General features: G+C 41.6%; 1 annotated feature.

Moving 5' to 3' along the window:
• Nucleotides 6,601-7,800: an enhancer, noted in NCBI's record as "BRD4-independent group 4 enhancer chr4:190229364-190230563 (GRCh37/hg19 assembly coordinates)". NCBI's record gives its function as "activates an origin of replication core promoter dependent on BRD2, P300/CBP, MED14 and CDK7 cofactors, and independent of BRD4, by STARR-seq in HCT116 cells {active_cell/tissue: HCT116}" and the evidence as "EXISTENCE:reporter gene assay evidence [ECO:0000049][PMID:35650434]".

Here is a 21,952-nt window from a genome sequence, read left to right as displayed (position 1 = left end):
GAAAGGTTTACAACTTCTTAGAGATTGGTTAACACTTTTCCCATTTAGAAAAAAAGTGGAGCATGCTGCCAGCCTTCATTTAACTTTACATAAACACACTCTGAGGATGAAGCAAATCTGACTGATTTTCAATGTGAAAATAAAATACAAAAACTGTTCTTGAAGTTATTTCTAAACAGAACTAACCCCAAAATCATCTGAATCATCAGAGTCATCTCTTTTGGAAAAATGAAATTCATCACATAAATCTTTGGCAAACACCTATTTGAGAACAGTGTTAACATCAAGTGTAGAAATGCCACATTTTCTAGGATTTGACATTTTCAGCCATTGAGAATCACTATATTTTGTAAATGGAAATACCACTACTAAAAACACAATGCTACAATAGAATAAAAATGAGGTATTTTGTTTCCAAAGTCAATATTCTAGCATAATGTGAAAATAGTAATAAAAGGGAAATTTTTGCGGCAAAGTTATCTTGGGGTTAGTGCCGCAGCCACAAGCGCCGCCAGTGAGTATTCTCGGACAAATGGGAAAAGAGTTAAATGGTTGTAATCAAAATGCTGATAAAATATGGACAATGAAGGCCAGAATAATGTGATGTCAGATAGAAATGAGGAATTTACTAGGAACTAGAGCAAAGCTCACCCTTGTTGTGCCCTAGCAAAGAACTTGTCTGCATTGTGTTCATGCACTACCATCTGTGGAAGTTTGAACTTACGAGTGATGACCTAGGGTATCAGGAGGGAGAATTTCTAAGCAGCAAAGTGTTCAAACGTGGCCTGGCTACTTTGAACAGCCTACCCTCAGATGTGGGAGCAAAGATATTACTTAAAGTTGGAACTTATATTTAAAAGGGAAGTAGAGTGTAGAAGATTCAAAAATTGGGAGCCTGGCTCCGTGGTGGAGAAAGAATCCAAGCGGGCTGAGGAGCAACCACTTGCTAGAGAGATTTTCATGACTAACAGGGAGCCAAGTGCTAATATCCAAGACAAGAGGAAAAAGGTCTCGAAGGCATTTCCGAGGTCTTTGAGACAGCCCTTCCCATCCAGGCTCAGGGGCCTAGGAGAAAAGAATGGTTTCGGGGGCTAGGTCCAGGGTGCGTCCGCCCTGCACAGCCTCAGTGGTTTCGGGGGCTAGGTCCGGGGTGCGTCCGCCCTGCACAGGCTCAGTGGTTTCGGGGGCTAGGTCCGGGGTGCGTCCGCCCTGCACAGCCTCAGTGGTTTCGGGGGCTAGGTCCGGGGTGCGTCCGCCCTGCACAGCCTCAGTGGTTTCGGGGGCTAGGTCCGGGGTGCGTCCGCCCTGCACAGCCTCAGTGGTTTCGGGGGCTAGGTCCGGGGTGCGTCCGCCCTGCACAGCCTCAGTGGTTTCGGGGGCTAGGTCCGGGGTGCGTCCGCCCTGCACAGCCTCAGTGGTTTCGGGGGCTAGGTCCGGGGTGCGTCCGCCCTGCACAGCCTCAGTGGTTTCGGGGGCTAGGTCCGGGGTGCGTCCGCCCTGCACAGCCTCAGTGGTTTCGGGGGCTAGGTCCGGGGTGCGTCCGCCCTGCACAGCCTCAGTGGTTTCGGGGGCTAGGTCCGGGGTGCGTCCGCCCTGCACAGGCTCAGTGGTTTCGGGGGCTAGGTCCGGGGTGCGTCCGCCCTGCACAGCCTCAGGACGCTGCTTCCTGTACCCACGCCACTCTCACTCCGGTCTCAGCTCAAAGAGTCTCACGTACAGAGCTCAGGCTGCTGCTTTGTAGCGCACCAGCCACCGTAAGCCTTCACAACTTCCATGCGGTGTTCCACCCGCAGGCGCACAGAATGCAAGGGTGAAGGAAGGTTGGCAACTTCCACCTAGATTTCGGAGAATGTGACAGAAAGCCTGGGTCTGAGCAGAAGCCTGCCACAGGGGAAGAGCCCCCACAGGGAGCCTCTACTAGGGCAGTGCCAAGAGGGAAGGTGAGGTTGGGGCCCTCCCAGACAGTCTCCACCAGGGCATTTCCTAGTGGATCTGCCGGGAGGGGCCACCACCCTCCAGACCCCAGAATGATAGAACCACTGGCGGCTTGCAACCTCAGAGTAGAAAAGCTGCAGTCACTTAACTCCAACCTGCAAGAGCAGCCATAGGGGGTGCACCCTGCAAAGCCACAAGGGTGAAGCTGCCCAAGGTATTGGAAACACACCCCTGATACCAGTGTGCCCAGGAAATGGGACACGGATTCAAGGATCATGTTGGAGTTTAAGGTTTAATGTCCACTCTGCTGAGTTGCAGACTCCTGTGAGGCCTGAAGCCCCTTTCTTTCGGCCAATTTCATTCTTTTGGAATGGGAATGCGTACCCAATGCCTGTACTGCCATAGCATCTCGGAAGTAAATATCATGGTTTTTATTTTAGAGACTTATAGGTGAGAAGAACCTGCCTTGGGTCTCAGAGGAGACTTTGGTCTTCTTAAATTGAGTTGATGTTGAAATGAGTTAAGATTTGGGGGGACTACTGGGAAGGCATGATTGTTTTGCAATGTGAGAGGGACCAGAGATTTGTAGGGTCAGGGGCAGAATGATGTAGTTTGGATGTGTGCCCCACTCCAAATCTCATGTTGAAATGTGATTCCTAATGTTGGAGGTAGGGCCTGGTAGGAGGTATTTGGGTCATCGGGGCAGATTCCTCATGAATGGCTTGGTGTCCTCATGGTAAGAGCTCTCACTCTGAGTTAATGCAAAATCTGGTTGTTCAAAACAGTGTGGCACATCGCTCTCTCTCACTCCCTCTCTCTTCCCCTCTCTTGCCTTGTGACACCAGCTCCCCTCTCATCTTCTGTCATGATTGTAAGCTACCGGAAGCAGATACCTGCACCACACTTCCTATACATCCTGCAGAAACTTGGGCCGAAATAAACCACTCTTATTTGTAAATTACCCAGCCTCAGGTATTTCTTCCCAGAAATACAATAATGGACTAACACAGCAGGAGTCCAACTTCATTCTTCTGTGCATAGTTGTCCACTTGGCCCAGCGCCGTTAGTTAAGACTTTTCCCACATTGAATGGTCTTGGAATCCTTGTTGAAAATAAGTTGACCATAGAGGCCTGGTTTTAGTTCGGGACTCTCAATTCGATTAGATTGATCTATATGTCTATTGTTGTGCCAAGACAGCAGTGTCTTGCTCACTATTTCTTTGTAGTAACTTTTGAAACTGGGAAATGTGAGTCTTCTTACATAATTCTTCTTTTTCAGGTTTTGGCTATTTGGAGTCCCTTGCAATTTTGTGTAAATTTTAGAATAAGCTTACCAGTGAATACAAAGAAATCAGCTGGAAATCTATTAGGGAATGCATTGAATCTGTACATCAGTTTAGGGAATGCTTTCATTTTAACAATATTAAATTAGCAATATTAAATATGGGTCTTTTGACCAATAAACAGATATTTATCCATTTATTTAAGCTTTCTTTAATGTCTTTCAGCAATGTTTTATAGTTTTCAGAGTATAAGATTTTCCGTTATTTTGCTAAATATATTCCTAAGTTATAAAATTCATTTGGAAGCTGCTGTGAATGGAATTTTATTTTATTTTTATTTGTGGATTGTTTATTGCAAGTGTCTACATATATAAATGATTTTGTACATTGATCTTGTATCCTAACAACCTTGCTGTACTCACTTATATGGTGTAATAATGTTTTAGTGAATTCCTTAGGATTTTCTATATATAAGATCAAGTCATCTATGAAGAGATATAGCTTTACTTCTTTTCAAAGTGGATGAATTTATTTCTTTTTCTTGTCTAACTGCCCTGGCTAGAGCCTCCAGTACAGGGTATAGAGTAAAGTGGAGTGATAAGAGTAAAAATTCTTGTCTTATTTTTTATCTTAGTGGGAAGGCATCTAGTTTTTCATCATTCAGTGTGATGTTAGCTGTGCAGATTACACTTTTAATCTCTCTTTGTACTGAATCTGTGCTCATTATACGTCAGCTTTGAATGATTGATTTTTCTTCTTACTATGGGTGGTATATTTTTGTTTCTTTTAATGTGTCATAATTTTTGTTTGGATATCAGACACTGTGAAATTTACCTTCTTTCAGTATTGGATACTTTCCTAATATGCTTAAGCTTCGTTCTGAGACACAGTTGAAAATAATATAATTCATTGGATCTTTATTTTCTGCTCTATTAGCTGATACTAATATACTTAGTCTAGAGCTATTTTTCCTCATTACCAGGGCAAGATCTGTTTGAGTACATTATCCAATGCCCAGTAAAATATACAGTTTTCCAATATGGTTAGTGAGAATAGGCATTATGTCCACTCCTTTTTGTGCTTTGGTGCTTATTTTTGATGGTTTTCTTGGCCTTGTGTAATTTTACGATACACATGCATTTAAATAGTAAGAAACTGAATATACAAGGGGCTCTTTCTGAAGTTCTCTGAAGTTTTGTCTGTGCAGCTTTCTCCTTTCCAGTATTCTGTCCACAAAACTCCAGCTCTCTTCACATTTCCATTCTCCAGGTCAGTATCTCTAATTGTGGGAGACTGCTGTTCATCACCCATATCCCCCTTACTGCATTCCCTGCTGGTCACTCCCACCAGGCAGCAAGTCACTCCCACCAGGCAGCAAGCTAGGACAAGCACAGGGCTCATATCGTGTGTTTCTCATCTCTCATCCACTGTTCTTCATTGCCTAATGCCCAATGTTGTGAAAAAATGTTTTGTATATTTTGTGTACTTTGTCAATTGATTCAGGCAGAAGGATAAATCTGGAATCTTTTTTGCTCCATCTTGGCCAGAAATAGATGTTTTTTATGCACATTAAAATTTGAAAATCATGATTATGTGAATCTGAGGCCACACAGCTTTGGTTTGAGTTCTGAGTCTGCCACTTAATGATACTCTTAGGCAAGTTATTTAACTAATTAGTACCTCATCTTTTGCATCTGTAAAATAAAATAATACCTATCTCAGGAGTTTGTTGAGTTTTGGGTGAGAAGATGTCAATGAAAAAGAGCTATTATAATATTCTATGTCATTCTGTGTTGTTAAAATCTTAACAACAGGAATTAATGCATACCTTAGACATCAATAGGCCACATTACCTATCCCTACACAATATGCAATCATCCTACACAATATGCAACTGGCGACAAAGCTCTCCTGGCTGTAGAATGTTGCTATAAAATAATGAGCAATATTACATAACTTTACATATAAATATTTATATAATTATATTAATAACAGCTTTTAATTATAGAATTAGGCAATGAAACTGAGTATTTCATAATTTTAATTGTTTTGGTTCAATCTGTGTCAGCAATATAAAAAAACTTTATTGAGTTATGATTTTCAAGTGGGAACTGCATAAATGTGAGCCCTAAGAATTGCTTGAATTCATTGAATTCCTTCAAAACAAAGTCATAAATAATTAAATGAAAATATGATATTTATTTCTAATTATGCAAAGATACAACGCATAGTAAAGATTTTCTGTCAATGCCCACATTTAAAAAATACATTGTTATTTATTGGAATTTTTAAGTTGAATTTTGTTTACTCATAAACTTGTAAAATCATCAGATTAGGGGCCAAAAAAAAAGCTATCTGATTTGCCATTTCTTATCTATTTTGGTAAAACTTTTGAATTAATAGTGAGTTATTTCAATTCAAAAATAATCCTGCATTTCACTAGATTTAGTCAGTAGTACTGTATAACTCTTATTTTTTGCTTTCTCAGATGAAAAATTGGAATGTTAATAGTGACAGACACTAGGAGCAGGTGCTAGTGACTTATAAACCGCTGCATATATCAAACAATAAAATGTTATAAAAATGAGATTGTTGGGTTTTATATTCTGAGAAGCATATATTGTCCTATTCCCATCCTCAGGAGTTAACAAAACAGTTGCATTAGCAAACAAATGCTCTTTTAATTGTGAAAGCAAGTCTTCTATTGAATAATGATTTCTTAGAAATGTTTCAACAAACAATGACCTCATGCCTCCTGGGCAGTTTCTGGGGAAGGTTCCTGCCTACTATTCCCAATCCTAACGTATTATTGTAGAAGAAGAAGTGCAGTTTTTACATTTGTCTCTAAGTGAGATATTACCTACTTTCCCAGAAAAGCAGTGTTCTTCTCATTTTGTTCTTTGCATCCATATTGTATGCTGTTAGAAATGTTTTCATGTTATTTGGTCAAACGCGTAAAGTCAGGAACATTTATTTTTCACCACTTATGCGGAATATCTATCTGATGAGATATTTCTGTTTCTTATAAGCTGGGAAACAGCATGACAGGGCTGCTGTGAAATGAGAAGTGAGTTGCCACCAGCCTGTGTGTGCAAAATGATGTCTCTGGTCCCCTGTAGGAGTTGCTTAGTGGAGCAGATGAAAATACGGTCGAACGCAGGAAGCTGCTGGATCCTGGAGATGAAAACGCAGTCCACTATGTGGCCTGTGGGCCCGCATTAGAGTACCTGCCAGTCCGCCGCGTGGCCTGTGGGCCCACATTAGAGCACCTGCCAGTCCGCCGCGTGACCTGTGGGCCCTCATTAGAGCACCTGCCAGTCCGCCGCGTGACCTGTGGACCCGCATTAGAGCACCTGCCAGTCCGCCGTGTGACCTGTGGGCCCGCATTAGAGCACCTGCCAGTCCGCCGCGTGGCCTGTGGGCCCGCATTAGAGTACCTGCCAGTCCGCCGTGTGACCTGCGGGCCCTCATTAGAGTACCTGCCAGTCCGCCGGGTGACCTGTGGGCCCGCATTAGAGCACCTGCCAGTCCGCCGGGTGACCTGTGGGCCCGCATTAGAGCACCTGCCAGTCCGCCGGGTGACCTGTGGGCCCGCATTAGAGCACCTGCCAGTCCGCCGCGTGACCTGTGGGCCCGCATTAGAGTACCTGCCAGTCCGCCGCGTGACCTGTGGGCCCGCATTAGAGTACCTGCCAGTCCGCCGCGTGACCTGTGGGCCCTCATTAGAGCACCTGCCAGTCCGCCGTGTGACCTGTGGGCCCTCATTAGAGTACCTGCCAGTCCGCCGTGTGACCTGTGGGCCCTCATTAGAGCACCTGCCAGTCCGCCGCGTGACCTGTGGGCCCGCATTAGAGTACCTGCCAGTCCGCCGTGTGACCTGTGGGCCCTCATTAGAGCACCTGCCAGTCCGCCGCGTGACCTGTGGGCCCGCATTAGAGTACCTGCCAGTCCGCCGCGTGACCTGTGGGCCCGCATTAGAGTACCTGCCAGTCCGCCGCGTGACCTGTGGGCCCGCATTAGAGTACCTGCCAGTCCGCCGTGTGACCTGCGGGCCCTCATTAGAGTACCTGCCAGTCCGCCGGGTGACCTGTGGGCCCGCATTAGAGCACCTGCCAGTCCGCCGGGTGACCTGTGGGCCCGCATTAGAGCACCTGCCAGTCCGCCGCGTGACCTGTGGGCCCGCATTAGAGTACCTGCCAGTCCGCCGTGTGACCTGTGGGCCCTCATTAGAGTACCTGCCAGTCCGCCGTGTGACCTGTGGGCCCTCATTAGAGCACCTGCCAGTCCGCCGCGTGACCTGTGGGCCCGCATTAGAGTACCTGCCAGTCCGCCGCGTGACCTGTGGGCCCTCATTAGAGCACCTGCCAGTCCGCCGGGTGACCTGTGGGCCCTCATTAGAGCACCTGCCAGTCCGCCGTGTGACCTGTGGGCCCGCATTAGAGTACCTGCCAGTCCGCCGTGTGGCCTGTGGGCCCTCATTAGAGTACCTGCCAGTCCGCCGCGTGACCTGTGGGCCCTCATTAGAGTACCTGCCAGTCCGCCGTGTGACCTGTGGGCCCTCATTAGAGCACCTGCCAGTCCGCCGCGTGACCTGTGGGCCCTCATTAGAGTACCTGCCAGTCCGCCGTGTGACCTGTGGGCCCGCATTAGAGCACCTGCCAGTCCGCCGTGTGACCTGTGGGCCCGCATTAGAGTACCTGCCAGTCCGCCGTGTGGCCTGTGGGCCCTCATTAGAGTACCTGCCAGTCCGCCGCGTGACCTGTGGGCCCTCATTAGAGCACCTGCCAGTCCGCCGCGTGACCTGTGGGCCCTCATTAGAGTACCTGCCAGTCCGCCGCGTGACCTGTGGGCCCTCATTAGAGTACCTGCCAGTCCGCCGTGTGACCTGTGGGCCCTCATTAGAGTACCTGCCAGTCCGCCGTGTGACCTGTGGGCCCTCATTAGAGTACCTGCCAGTCCGCCGCGTGACCTGTGGGCCCTCATTAGAGTACCTGCCAGTCCGCCGTGTGACCTGTGGGCCCTCATTAGAGCACCTGCCAGTCCGCCGCGTGGCCTGTGGGCCCGCATTAGAGCACCTGCCAGTCCGCCGTGTGACCTGTGGGCCCTCATTAGAGTACCTGCCAGTCCGCCGCGTGACCTGTGGGCCCTCATTAGAGTACCTGCCAGTCCGCCGCGTGACCTGTGGGCCCGCATTAGAGTACCTGCCAGTCCGCCGTGTGACCTGTGGGCCCTCATTAGAGTACCTGCCAGTCCGCCGTGTGACCTGTGGGCCCTCATTAGAGTACCTGCCAGTCCGCCGCGTGGCCTGTGGGCCCTCATTAGAGTACCTGCAAGTCCGCCGTGTGACCTGTGGGCCCTCATTAGAGTACCTGCCAGTCCGCCGCGTGACCTGTGGGCCCTCATTAAAGCACCTGCTAGTTGGTTTTTCAGTCTGGGCTTCAGAATGTTGGTGGTGGGAATTCACGGGAAGGAGTGAGCAAAAAAGTGGGTTTTGTGCTGTGTGCTCAATCACTGTAATAATTTAGAAGAAACTTGATCCATTTCTGCCTTTAAAACACATTGTTTGCAGTTTATTTGCATAGCGGAAGATGTTTGTTAAATGAGTGGATGGTGTGTGTGGCTGTTGTTAGGGATTACCTGACGATTCGTAATCTAACAATGTAATGACTGTTTGAGCAGCCCGACCAGCGCCTCCCCAGTCACCTCCTGAGCTGTTAGTCGTCCCTATAACAGTATCACTGATTGCACTGCCTTTTTTTCTCAGTTAGGCTAAACTTGAATCTAGAAATGAAGAAAGTTGCCATGACACAGATACAAAATTTAAAACAAAAGCAAAAAAATTGTGAGTAATAAACTCTTTAAGACCCTCCAGCACAGGCAAATAGATAAACTTGGTTCAGGAACTTAGCTGCCTTCTAAATTCATGTATTTTTCTTCTACATAATAGGCAACTAGAGAGATGTCCGTTTAACCCATGTTAAGCTTCAACCCCACTGATGAAGCCTCCCTTCCTGCTTCCTTTTAAAAATATTACTACGTGAAGTATCCTTCACATGCTCTGAATTTAGCACTGTTAACTCAGTGGGAAAGTTTGTAGCCAAAATGAAACAGGGCAAGAAAAATTATCTGTACATTAGATCCTGAAGGGATCTAAGTTTAATCCCAGGCTCCTAATAAAACCTATAGAAAAACTGAGCTATACCATAAATTTCTTGTAGAATTCATCATCCAAATAAGATTTTTTTTTTCTGCTTTTGCTTCATTCCTGTGCTGAATGTTTTGGTTCAGAGAGAGATTGCGTCTACTGTAATAGATTTATAGCACAGTAATATGAATTGATACTCTAGTGATGCCTATCTTTGATTTTTGGACTTATGTGTTAGCTCCAACTTTTTAAAGTAATTTTTTTTCTCCTATGAGACATATGATCATTGCTAAACTATCTGAGAGATCTGGAGACACCAATGATCTTCGTAATGAACAGCAAGGGGCCTCAAATGCCAGGTGACATAGTCTTTCTTTTTGTGAAGAAGTTATAGCTACAGGCCAGAGCCAAATCTTTGGTTTTCCATCATAGATCACGTATGCTGAGATAAAGTAGAGGGCATAATGAATCTGTTTCTAATAACCAAAGGAGTAAAGAGTCTGTTTTTAATAAGCATAGTTTTATAATTAAGCAAGAGCCAAAAAAAATGCCAACTGAAATTATAATTATGACAAAATCTCCTTTTAAGAGAAGATGTATTGGATCATTTACAGCCAAGCTTTGGACACATTAAAGTTTTAAAACTGTCCAAATTCTGCCACAGAGATTTGAACTCCTCAAACACTCATGATTGATTTGCAGCCTGGCAATTTGAACTTGAAGGGTTGCTACCTTTCAGGTGCAAGTTGAAAATTAAAAGTACAGTTTGAGAAAGAGAAGGTGTGTTTATAGTAAACAGGTGGCTTCTGTTCAAAAGAGAATTGCTGTGGACTCTTTTATGACCACGCTGATGCTGTGGCATATTAAGTGGAGCTTGTCACTTTCCCATCTGGTCTCGACAACTGCTGGAGGCGGAACCCATTTAGAGCACCATGCAGCTGCTCTTCAATGTCTCATAAATAATCCAATCATGGCTTATTCTGCTTTTTATTAAACACAATTTATGAGGATTGGGTCATTGTTCTTCTAGGCAATTGTCCACAGAGTGTGGCTTTTAAGGAAATTGTTACTCAATGTGATCTTTAAAGATTAAAACCCAGTGTTAATAGAAAAATTGTGCAGTGCATATCCAGTTTATATTTGTTGATTGTACTTTATCTAAACAACTATGCTTGATAAAAAGCCCTTTCTTGTGAAGTGTAATACCTATTTGTCTCAGAGCAACTCTGTGGACTTGCTTTAATCTCCCCTTGGACACATTAATCCATGAGTTTTTCTCTCTCAAAGAAGCAGTTTTGGAAGAATGCTCTGTTTTCTGCACACACCACTCAACTCATTTAATTATTGCTGCATTACTTTCGTGATTCACAGATAAAAGAACATTAAAAGCAACATAGTATTTACTAGGGTTTTTTTTCTGTTTTCCCAGTGAGATGTTTGATGCTTCATCAGATGAGATAGTAATAGAAAAACAAAAGAACATATTCCTGCCATATATATCAAAGGATTCTATTTAACCTTTAGTAGTTTGTAACTCCCAACAGTGTTTTCTCTGGATCAAATGTCTTGTTATAATAAGCTTGGCAGTTGAGATATTTTTTTCTCTGCTTTGGGTCTGGATTATGTTCAAATCATTGTTTAGATTAAATGACAGTTCATGTGATTTGTCTGTGAATACCTGACTGTTAGGAAATCTTGACTTTTCTTGGCAGAACATTCTCATCTGTCATGATGTCACTGGCTGATAAAACACATAAAACCACGAAGTATAATCACGTCTGTGAGTTTCCAATATGTTTGGTAGCAAAAGGATTCCAGTCCCTGTGCATTTTCAAAACTCACGATACATAGAAGGCAGAGAGAGGTACATCCGTCAACAGGAAGAGACTGAGGGACTCGAGGCATGCTGGTCTCTAACTTGCTCAGAAATTAAATACTGTAAGTTATTCCGAGTAGCCTCTCAAGGTCACCCAGGAGTCCTTTTCCCTCAGTCCCTTTATATATAACTGTCAAGATTCAAGATGTATTTAGGAGAAACGTACATTTTGTTGGGTACACAAATGTCTTTGATTGTTTCCAGAAGCTATGAGTCTATACAATTTATTATCAAACTAATCAAACTAGTATGTTCAATTTAATAAAGCAGAATGAAATGTTTAACATCCTTATAGCTTACTAAATTCTGAATAGAAAGAAGTCAGCAATGTGTTTGAGTCACTAGATTTGAAACTTGGAAGGTCTGTGAGTGTTGAGGTGACCTCGGGGAGGTAGAACTGAGTCAGTCTGCCATTTCATCATTTACTCTCTAGCAAGCAAGAAACTCAAGCATGTCTGTAACAGGCTGCTTTTATGAATGATGATCTTTGCTTCATTATTCTTCAACACAAAATTGTTTAAGTAGTGGCATTATGCCCCACCTCCCAGAATTAGTTTCTTCCTATGTGTGATAGATGAACTATGATTCGGTCTAAGTAGCATGTAAATTTCTAAAAGCTTTTTCAGACTCTGAGTAATTTCATTAGCATAACTACTACATTTATATTTTTTAATAGTTGTTTTTGAGAAATTACTACAATTATCATATTTATGTCTTTTCATTTTTAAAGTGCATTTATACTGGCTTTTCTTCTTTGATAATTTTTCTCCACAATTTTTATGTTTTGAAATGAGTACTGAAGAAGTTGGAGGAAAGATTGTATTTTAATTTCTTTTCAAGTTTAAGTTTGTAATAGTGAAATGATAAAGAAAAGACTGAAATTAAACAACAGTTTACATGGAAGATGTCAAACAACAAAATTTGTCTATCTGGACATGGATTTTGATTTTTTAAACAAAATGATAGATTCATGGCTAGAGACATTTTATTGTGAAATTCTCTTTGAAGAAATGCATATCTGCTATACTGAAAGAGGAACAATTGGTAGGACAGCACCTAGTGACTCTCAGGAGGACATTGCCTGTGAGAATCTAGTCTCAGAGTATGTGAAGAGTCCTTAAATTTTAACAAAAGGAAATTAACATGATATATCAGGTAACACCAATATGTATTGAGATGAAAGTCGTGATGCGGATTTGTCTGCGGAACTATGTGATCTTGTTTCTAAAGAATCTGGTGTCGGCCAGGCGCCGTGGCTCACGCCTGTAATCCCAGCACTTTGGGAGGCCAAGGCGGGCGGATCACGAGGTCAGGAGATCGAGACCATCCTGGCTAACACGGTGAAACCCCGCCTCTACTAAAGATACAACAAAAATTAGCCGAAATTAGCCGGGTGTGGTGGTGGGTGCCTGTAGTCCCAGCTGGTGGGGAGGCTGAGGCAGGAGAATGGCGTGAACCCGGGAGGCGGAGCTTGCAGTGAGCCCAGATGGCGCCACCGCACTCCAGCCTGGGCGACAGAGCGAGACTCCGTCTCAAAAAAAAAAAAAAAAAAAAAAGAAAAGAAAAAGAATCTGGTGTCACAGGAGCACAGGGTGGCAGATGCAAATCCAGGCAGGACCCCTATGAGCAGGTTCTGAATGGGAGACGTGGTGGGAGAAAGCCAAGGTGCATTGTCCTGAGATGGCCTAGTTTGGTGGATGAGAAGCTTCATGCTTGTCTCACGTAATTCGTAACACAGAGAAAACGTGCTTGTCGTTGACCTCAGATATTCAGACATCTGGAAATCTTACCCTGCTAAAGCTGAATGCCCGAGGGATGTTCGCCCTGCCTGTGTGCCAACATCATTCCTTTATTTGTGAAAACAATAGGGGTACTTCCTGTTAAAGTATCAACCTTCAATACTTGCAGTCTTTGGAATCTGCCTAAGTGAGGAAGGATATGTTTAGACACATCACTTAGACCGGGAGGTTGTCTTTATAAATTAAGAGTCCCGTAGTCACTCAGCTACAGGGAAATAAGAAACATTTCAAAAGCATGATATTGACAGTGCAGTTGAAGATAATGCCAGTGAGGAAGAAACAGATAAAATCAGGTAAAGACACCAAAAGTGACTGCATTGATCATTTCCTATTAAATTAGATTTAACTTATATATAGATGAATGTAAACAAAAAAATGTAAAGACATAAAACAATGATCAGAATTTAAAAGGGTGTCTGGAGACCAAAAGCTCTAAAAACAGCTGAAGATCGATTGTGAAATTTGTTAATAATATCAGGGCTTATTCAGATCTGTTCCCACGAAAACTGCTGGTCTAATGTAACTTACAGTCTTGTTTATGGGAGAAAGACAATGTGCAATAATATTATAAAAACAAGTCTATTATAGAATGTGTTAGGAGCGACAAGTGATATGGCTAAAACTAGACCAAGATCGGGGTGGAGGGGGGCAGGAACAGAGATTGTGCCTGGAAACTAAAAACTCTGAAAAGAATTGAAGATTGTGAAATATGTTAAGAATAATAACAAGGCTTATTCAGATCTGTTCCAACAGAAATCTCCAATCTAATGTAACTTACAGTCTTGTTTATGGGAGAAAGACAGTACGCAATAATAAAAACAAGTCTATTATAGAATATGTTAGAAGCGACAAGTGCTATGGAGAAAACTAGACCAAGATCAGCGATAGAGGTGGGCAGGTGCAGGCAGGCAGGGTGGCCTCATGAGAGGTGATGTTTAAGCCAGGACCGAAAGTGGGTGAGGAAATCAGCCACGCGCATGGTGAGAGGAAGCGCATTCTAGGCAGAGGGAGCCATGAGCACAAAGGCCTCACGTGGGAGCCCGCTGTGTGTCTGAGGTGCGGTGGGGAAGCCCATGTGCTGGCTGGGGAGGGACAATGGGGACGAGGCTTGCTGGGAAAAGGGGGTGTGGTGGGGAGGTGATGGTGTGCAGAGGAGAGAAACTGTGTTAGGTCCTTCTCTCATTCTCAGTGAAGTGGGGAGCCCTGACCACAGGGGTGATGTCAATTTGCTTAAGTTTCAAAAGGATAATTATGGATGCTGTATTGAAAGTAGATTTTAGGGCAGTTAGGATGAATTAGAAAAACGGCTTAAAGGCCTGGGGAAGCCCAGTGAGGGTGGTGGTTACTCAGGCCAGGTGTTGCAGCAGTGGAGACAATTGCCAGTGTTACAGCAGTCCTTGTATTTTGAAGGTAAAACTAAACGGTCTACACAAGGGCTGACAGGGTTCAGACCTGACTTTGCAAGTCGTGTTCTTAGTGACCAGAGTCTCCTGAAAAGCTGACCACCTCCACACAGGCCTCTCTCTCTGCGACTCCTCTCATCACTACATCATCATTGCAAAGAAGTCCTTTTTTCTTACTAAATCTTGTCCTTCAGTCTTTTCGTTATCTTCTTCCAATAAATCATTTCTGTGGGGGCTGCCCCTTCATGAAGTCCATTCCCTAATCTCCCCCTGGCCTGCCTTGCTTCAGATCCTGTCTCCTCGGGAGTCTGTGTCTCTCACCGCAGGGCTGCGGATCAGATTCCTATGAAGACCCTGTCTCTCCTGGCTGGCCATGCTGAGAGCGAGTATGACCTTGAATTTATCTAAGATAGAAAACACCAAGATTTCTACAGAGAGATTTTAAGTTGCTGGAGTTAGAGAAGAGATACAGTTGTCACTAGGGTGTTAATAAAGAACCACAAGAAGGGACTACGTGACAAATATCTCAGTAAGTTTAGAACATGGCTGACTGCAACTGTAAACTGTAGAAATTCAAGTCTCACACATTTACCTTGTTCAATATTAAATATTTATAAATTAGAATATCTACCTGTTGTATTTACTTATAATGGAATGGGCCCATAACTCAACCTGTTCCATTTTTTTAGAAGGAAATCTCTATAATTTATTGTTTCTAAAATCACAAAACAGTTTTACTTTCTTAGTTATTTACCTGGCTTTAAATACCATTCTTGGTGTAAGAGACTCTCACACTAATCTAAGTTGCCAGTGTTGTCAGCAATAATAAACTGTCAACTACTATTTTTTTTCAAAATTATCTCATTAGACTACCACAGTGTTTTATAATGAGTTCCTTCATACTAAATATACATTATTTTATGTGACTCCATCCAAATAAAGCCCACAAATTTATCATGAATGGAAATAGAGCCATTTTTGAAACTGCAGGAATACTGGCTCTGAATTTAGTATACACATTGACAATCATAAACAAGAAGAGACGTGTGTACCCATTGCTTGCTTAACAGGTATACAAGCCTATTGACTTGTTGCTTCCTGTTGGACACTCGAACTGTCAAACATTTCAAAGAAAATGTATTGAATCTAATCATAATGTTTGTCTATTGGTGTTAGTAATGCCAGTGTTTGGAATCTTGAGTTTCATACCTTCTCTTCTCAAAGCCAACTTTCGTGGTCATTTTCAATAGCTATTCTCATCCTTTGCCTATTGTTCTTAGTTAGGACTCCAGAAGAGATAAACATAGAAGACACATGAAGGTAAATGTATTAATTCAATATATATTTATTGGAGGCCCACCATGTTAGGGATATAGTAGAGAAGAACAATCTTCAACTTGGATGGAGTTTAAATTTTACTTGGAGAGGAGGCAGACAATGAAAACAAATAATTATATACTGTATAAAATGGAAATAAGTGCCATGAAGGAAGAATAAATCAGGAAAGAGAGTAGAGATAAACGGGTGAGTCGGTGCTATTTTACGTAGAGCAGTCAATGTGTTCTCTTTAACGCTAAGTACTGTGACAGTGCATTCCTTTGTAGGTTCATAGCCCTGGTGAGCTCTGCTGACTTCTGTTGAGCCACAGGAAGCCCTTGTGTTTAACTGAGAAGCCGGCCCACATAGACTTCCTTTCCTTCAGGCCTGACTCTGGAATTTGTTTGGCTTCTCAATGTTGTATGAGACTAAGGGTAGAGCCCACACTCCTTTCATCATATCAACAGATAAGACAGATGTTCCAAAATAGTGTGGACTCAGAAGAAAAACCAAAGAGTCATCATATAAAAGGAGAGTCCCATGGAAATAATCCAGGGGACATACTAAATAAAGAGTTTCCAATGCCTTTCACACTGAACGCTCACTCCAGCAGCATTGCCCAGCATACTTGGCTTTGACTAACGTCTTGTGTACTCCTCAGGATGAGATGAGATAATCTCGGGGTTGGGGTAAGCCTTGAGTTCCATTACAGCAGAGGGTCTCACCTGTGTGCTTAAGATTCATTTAAGGAGCTTATTATAAGGCAAGTTTCCAAGTGTCACCACCAGATAGCCTGCTTTAGCAATTCGGGAATGGATTTAAAAAGTATATTTAAAAAGAAAAAAAAAAACCTTCAGGTGATTCTGCTGCAGAAGGTTTATCCAGTACAAACTGAGCCACCTCTGGCCCTGTGATTAGACTCCTTCAATTTACCTAGGTTTATAAGATTGGAATTGAAATTCCCAGCCTAGTTGATTATAAGAATCACCTTGAGGATTGTTTTAAAAGCTAGACTTTCAGTCGAATATTTAAGCCACATGAATTTGAATATTTAAAGGTTAAGTTTTAGAAAAGTTTATTTTTGAAATGCTCTCCAATTTTATTCCTCAGAGGAAAGCTTCACTATTATAGTGTATATAAGGGATGGCCAGGGGAATACAATACCTGCCTTTCTACCTGATAACCCTAAACTAATTGATGAACCATAGCCACATAACAAAAATAATTTAGATAGCTCAACTTCCACAAAACAGAAATATCTCAATTTGGTGTCCTCAGAAATGTTTAAATATATTTTACACTTATATAAGATCATTTTATATAGAAAATATTAAAGAAACACAGGGCTGAAGAGAAGTCTTGGAAGTAGACATTTAATTGCCAGTGAAAGGGTTGCAATTTTCAGTTGAAAATTTCCTAGTGCATAAAAATGAAAGAGGAAAAAATGAAAAAGGAAAAACAAGGAGAAAGAGAATCTATTTAGATGATTCAACATTTAATTCGTAGCAATTTTGGAAAGAAAATGGCAGAGAAAAGGGAGGAAAGAACATAGAAAAAAATAAAAGGAAGAGAAAATTTTCTAGTGTTCAAAAGAAAACTGAGACTTTAAAATAAGGAGTAAGAATGATTGAAAAAGATCGAACCCTCTTTTCCTAATTGAATACCCTTTATTTCCTTCTCCTGCCTAATTGCCCTGGCCAGAACTTCCAACACTATGTTGAATAGGAGTGGTGAGAGAGGGCATCCCTGTCTTGTGCCAGTTTTCAAAGGGAATGCTTCCAGTTTTTTCCCATTCAGTATGATATTCGCTGTGGGTTTGTCATAGATAGCTCTTATTATTTTGAGATACATCCCATCAATACCTAATTTATTGAGAGTTTTTAGCATGAAGGGTTGTTGAATTTTTTCAAAGGCCTTTTCTGCATCTATTGAGATAATCATGTGTTTTTTGTCTTTGGTTCTGTTTATATGCTGGATTACATTTATTCAATTAGGAAAAGAGGAAGTCAAATTGTCCCTGTTTGCAGATGACATGATTGTATATCTAGAAAACCCCATTGTCTCAGCCCAAAATCTCCTTAAGCTGATAAGCAACTTCAGCAAAGTCTCAGGATACAAAATCAATGTACAAAAATCACAAGCATTCTTATACACCAATAACAGACAAACAGAGAGCCAAATCATGAGTGAACTCCCATTCATAATTGCTTCAAAGAGAATAAAATACCTAGGAATCCAACTTACAAGGGACATGAAGGACCTCTTCAAGGAGAACTACAAGCCACTGCTCAATGAAGTAAAAGAGGATACAAGGAAATGGAAGAACATTCCATGCTCATTGGTAGGAAGAATCAATATCGTGAAAATGGCCATACTGCCCAAGGGAATTTATAGATTCAATGCCATCCCCATCAAGCTACCAATGACTTTCTTCACGGAATTGGAAAAAACTACCTTAAAGTTCATATGGAACCAAAAAAGAGCCCACATCACCAAGTCAATCCTAAGCCAAAAGAACAAAGCTGGAGGCATCATGCTACCTGACTTCAAACTATACTACAAGGCTACAGTAACCAAAACAGCATGGTACTGGTACCAAAACAGAGATATAGACCAATGGAACAGAACAGAGCCCTCAGAAATAATGCCGCATATCTACAACTATCTGATCTTTGACAAACCTGACAAAAACAAGCAATGGGGAAAGGATTCCCTATTTAATAAATGGTGCTGGGAAAACTGGCTAGCCATATGTAGAAAGCTGAAACTGGATCTCTTCCTTACACCTTATACACAAATTAATTCAAGATGGATTAAAGACTTAAACGTTAGACCTAAAACCGTAAAAACCCTAGAAGAAAACCTAGGCAATACCATTCAGGACATAGGCATGGGGAAGGACTTCATGTCTAAAACACCAAAAGAAATGGCAACAAAAGACAAAATTGACAAATGGGATCTAATTAAACTAAAGAGCTTCTGCACAGCAAAAGAAACTACCATCAGAGTGAACAGGCAACCTACAAAATGGGAGAAAATTTTCGCAACCTACTCATCTGACAAAGGGCTAATATCCAGAATCTACAATGAACTCAAACAAATTTACAAGAATAAAACAAACAACCCCATCAAAAAGTGGGCGAAGGACATGAACAGACACTTCTCAGAAGAAGACATTTATGCAGCCAAAAACACATGAAAAAATGCTCATCATCACTGGCCATCAGAGAAATGCAAATCAAAACCACAATGAGATACCATCTCACACCAGTTAGAGTGGTGATCATTAAAAAGTCAGGAAACAACAGGTGTTGGAGAGGATGTGGAGAAATAGGAACACTTTTACACTGTTGGTGGGACTGTAAACTAGTTCAACCATTGTGGAAGTCAGTGTGGCGATTCCTCAGGGATCTAGAACTAGAAATACCATTTGACCCAGCCATCCCATTACTGGGTATATACCCAAAGGACTATAAATCATGCTGCTATAAAGACACATGCACACATATGTTTATTGCAGCACTATTCACAATAGCAAAGACTTGGAACCAACCCAAATGTCCAACAATGATAGACTGGATTAAGAAAATGTGGCACATATACACCATGGAATACTATGCAGCCATAAAAAATGATGAGTTCATGTACTTTGCAGGGACATGAATGAAATTGGAAATCATCATTCTCAGTAAACTATCGCAAGGACAAAAAACCAAACACCGCGTGTTCTCACTCATAGGTGGGAATTGAACAATGAGAACATATGGACACAGGAAGGGGAACATCACACTCTGGGGACTGTTGTGAGGTGGGGGGAGGGGGGAGGGATAGCATTAGGAGATATACCTAATGCTAAATGATGAGTTAATGGGTGCAGCACACCAGCATGGCACATGTATACATATGTAACTAACCTGCACATTGTGCACATGTACCCTAAAACTTAAAGTATAATAATAATAAAATAACAAAGATCGAACCCATTCAGCAATGTTAAGTAGAAGATTCTGAATGATTTCAGAAAGGAGAGAAAAAGCCAAGTGAAACAAAAAAATAACAAGATTGGCCACTTATAAAGAAATGAGAATTTGATTGGCATCAGGCTCCTCATCAATAGATGCTCGTGCCAGCAGAGCAAGTCCAAAGATTGAGTGAAAACAATTCATAAGATATACTTGTCATAAACCCATTCTTGGGAATGAGTACCAGGCAAATGATCATGATATCCAAAGAAGACAAAGATGAGGGATAAAGGGAAAGGTTGACCAAAACCAAAATTTCAGCGATAAGAACTTTCACGAAGAGACCTGAGCAGTAGGCCTAGAAATCTTTCTACTATTAGATATATTTAATATCTTGCTACTAGATTTGTCATATGCAAGAAATAACCCCTTCCTTCCAACTGTTAGAAGAAAATCTTTAGACACATTAAATTTAGCACAATTTATTTGAGCAAAGAATGATTCATGGATGAGGCAGCACTCGGAACCAGGAGATATTCAGAGATTTCTGCCCAGCAGCATGAGCAGTGACCTCTCATGTGATGAGCATAGAAGCAAAGCAGAGAAATCACCTGCTTGGCTATAACTAGGCATTTGCTTATTTGGGTATCCTGTGATGTGTGGGCTACCTGTGACTGGCTGATATGTGGCTGCTTATTATTGGCTGAAACTTGCCTGTGTGTTACACTTATAAGTTAAATTTGGGTTTGTTTACATACTAAGTTAGGTTGATATTCATTATGTAGGAATTAAAATATGCAGACAGCCTCAGGTGAATGACCGCCTCCTTATGTAATTCAACACAGCTAACCCCTATAAGGCAATTTGTGAACTTATTTTAGTTCTATTTCCTCTTCTCCTTCTATATTTTGATAATTTTATTTCTAAAGTAATAAAGCTTTTAAAAATTACTATTGAAAAAACTATTGTGATAAATTCATATTTAAAATTTTTCATTGAGTTTTAAGTGTACAATTCAGTGACATCAAGTGCATTCACAGTGTCATGCAACCATCACCACGATCTACTTTCAAAACTTCTTTACAGTCTCAAACAGAAACACTGTCATTCTTAAACAAGAGTTTCATGATTGCCTCATTTCTTTCTGTCTCTATGAATTTATCTGTCTCTATGAATTTATCTGTTTCATATACGTGGAACCATAGAGTATTTTTCCTTTGCGGCTGGCTTGTTTTCACCTAGCTTCGGGTTTTCAGGTTTTATCCTTATTGTAGCAAGTGCAGCACTTCATTCCTCTTTAGAGATTTAATAATACTGCACTGTATATATATATACCAGGTTTAGTTTTAATAATACTGCACTGTATGTATAGACCAGGTTTAGTTTTTATAGTCCATTCATCCATTGATGGGTTCTTAGGTTGTTTCCACCATTTGGCTATTATAAATAACGCTGCATTGAGCAATGTCCTACAAATATCTGTCTGAGTCACTGTTTTTCATTCTTTTGCGTATCTACCTGGGAGCATAATTGCTGGGTCATGTGGAAACTCTGTAACTTGAGGAACTACCAAATTGTTTTCCATAGCAGTTGCACCATTTTACATTCCCACCAGCAACGAGTGAGGGTTCCAATTTCTCTACATTCCTGTCAATAATTGTTATTTTGGGGTTGCTGTTTGTTTGTTTCATTAGAGTCATACTAGAAGTCCTGCTAGTGATGTGAAATTGTGAAGTGGTATCTCATTGTGGTTTTCATTTATGTTCCCTAATAACTAATAATATTGAATATCTTTTTATGTGTGTACGGGCTGTTTGCATATCTTTTTTGGAGAAATATCTAAGTCCAAGTCTTTTGCTCATTTTATATTGTCTTTCTGTTGTTGAGTTGTAGGGACCCATTATCTTGCTACTCTTATATACTTTTTAAAGTATTAATTATATAATTAATACATTCAGTGCTTATAGCAGACTTCAGTACTTAAACATTTCTAATAATTTCACGGTATACAAGGCATGTTGGTTAAATAGATTTATCAGAAAGAGCTGATGAATACAATATTTCCTGAGTTCTAACATGATATTAACATATTTCTCTGCAGCAAAACTTCATGAGCTGTTAGGTTACATACAAAAATGCCTGGCTTACATTTTCTTTCCTTAATAATATTAAAATGTTGCTTCATTGTTTCTTAGCATACAATGTTGTTGTAAAAAATCTGATACTAATTTG

Source organism: Homo sapiens, chromosome 4 (genome assembly GCF_000001405.40).
Source record: "Homo sapiens chromosome 4, GRCh38.p14 Primary Assembly".
In the NCBI taxonomy this organism is placed as follows: Eukaryota; Metazoa; Chordata; class Mammalia; order Primates; family Hominidae; genus Homo; species Homo sapiens.
Note: the sequence above shows the minus strand (reverse complement) of the source record. Positions and strands in the feature narration are given on the sequence as shown.